Raw genomic sequence first — 1,329 nt, 5'->3', positions numbered from 1 at the left:
AGGACTTCGTGAAACCCATGATTCCAGAACCAGAAGCCATATGACGATTTTTGAGTGTGTTATTGTTCTGAGGAGAAAGCCAAAGCTTTCAAAAGATTCCTCCAGGGTGCTGTTACCTACACAAGGACAACCCATTGTCTTAGGCCATGTCATGTGCTGTCCTGGCTTCATCTCAACTCCACAGGCTGAAGATTTGTTAATATTCATTTCCAACCTGTGCGTCTTTCCTATGCCCCAGTCCTGTGTATGGGTTAGGCCTGTGAATACTTTTCTGAAACTCCTTCTGAGCCACTGAAGTCCCAGGCTGCTGGTGACTCAGAGGTGCTCAAAAACTCTGCTGCAAAAAGCAAGTGTCATAATATTATTCTCTAGCCTGGGTTAATTATAGTGATTTTTCTCTATTCAAGGCAGCTAGAAAATCCTCTATGGCATGCAAGGATTAAGGTTGCTGGGATCTGGGAGCATCTTGCATTTATTGTCTTCCCACTAGCTTTGGTTTTCCTTTTATAGGTTGGCCTAGTCATCTCACAGTTACTTCAAACCCAACATGTCCAAAACCTAAGTCTTTATTGTATTTTTTTGAGACAGGGTCTTGCTCTGCCATCTGGGCAGAAGTGCAATGGCACGATCACAACTCACTGCAGCCTCAACCTCCTGGGCTCAAGTGATCCTCCTGTCTCAGCCTCCTGAGTAGCTGGGACTACAAGCACATGCCACCACACCCAGATAATTTTTGTATTTTTTGTAAAGACCAGGTCTCTCCATGTTGCCCAGGCAGATCACGAACTCCTGGGCTCAAGCAATCTATCTGCCTTTGCCTCCCAAATTACTGGGACTACAGGCATGAGCCACTTCACCTAGCCAACCTGTCTTTAAATCCTAAAACCTGGCTCTTTTTTCTCTCTTACCAAAGCTCCCAAGCTAGAAAATGATCTCCTTTCCTCACCCCATAATCAATCACTGGCCAAGTCCATTAATGGTACTCCTCTTACATCACTCCTGGGCCTATATCTTTCTGTCATCTTCACCTCTGTTGCCTTGGTTTAAGTCAGGGGCTGACCAACTTCCTCTATAAAGGGCCAAATAGTAAATATTTTAGGCTTTACAGGCCATGCAGTCTCTGTTGCAACTACTCAATTCTATCACTGTAGGGCAAAAACAGCTCTAAATAATGTGTAAATAAATAAGAGTGGCTGAGTTCCAATAAAACTATGTATGAACATTGAAAGTTGAATTTTATATAATTTTTACGTGACACATTATTCTTCTTTTGATTTTGTTCAACCACTAAAAAATGTAAAATGCACTCTTAGCTTGTAGACCTGCAAA

Source organism: Homo sapiens, chromosome 21 (assembly GCF_000001405.40).
Source record: "Homo sapiens chromosome 21, GRCh38.p14 Primary Assembly".
Lineage (NCBI taxonomy): Eukaryota > Metazoa > Chordata > Mammalia > Primates > Hominidae > Homo > Homo sapiens.
Note: the sequence above shows the minus strand (reverse complement) of the source record.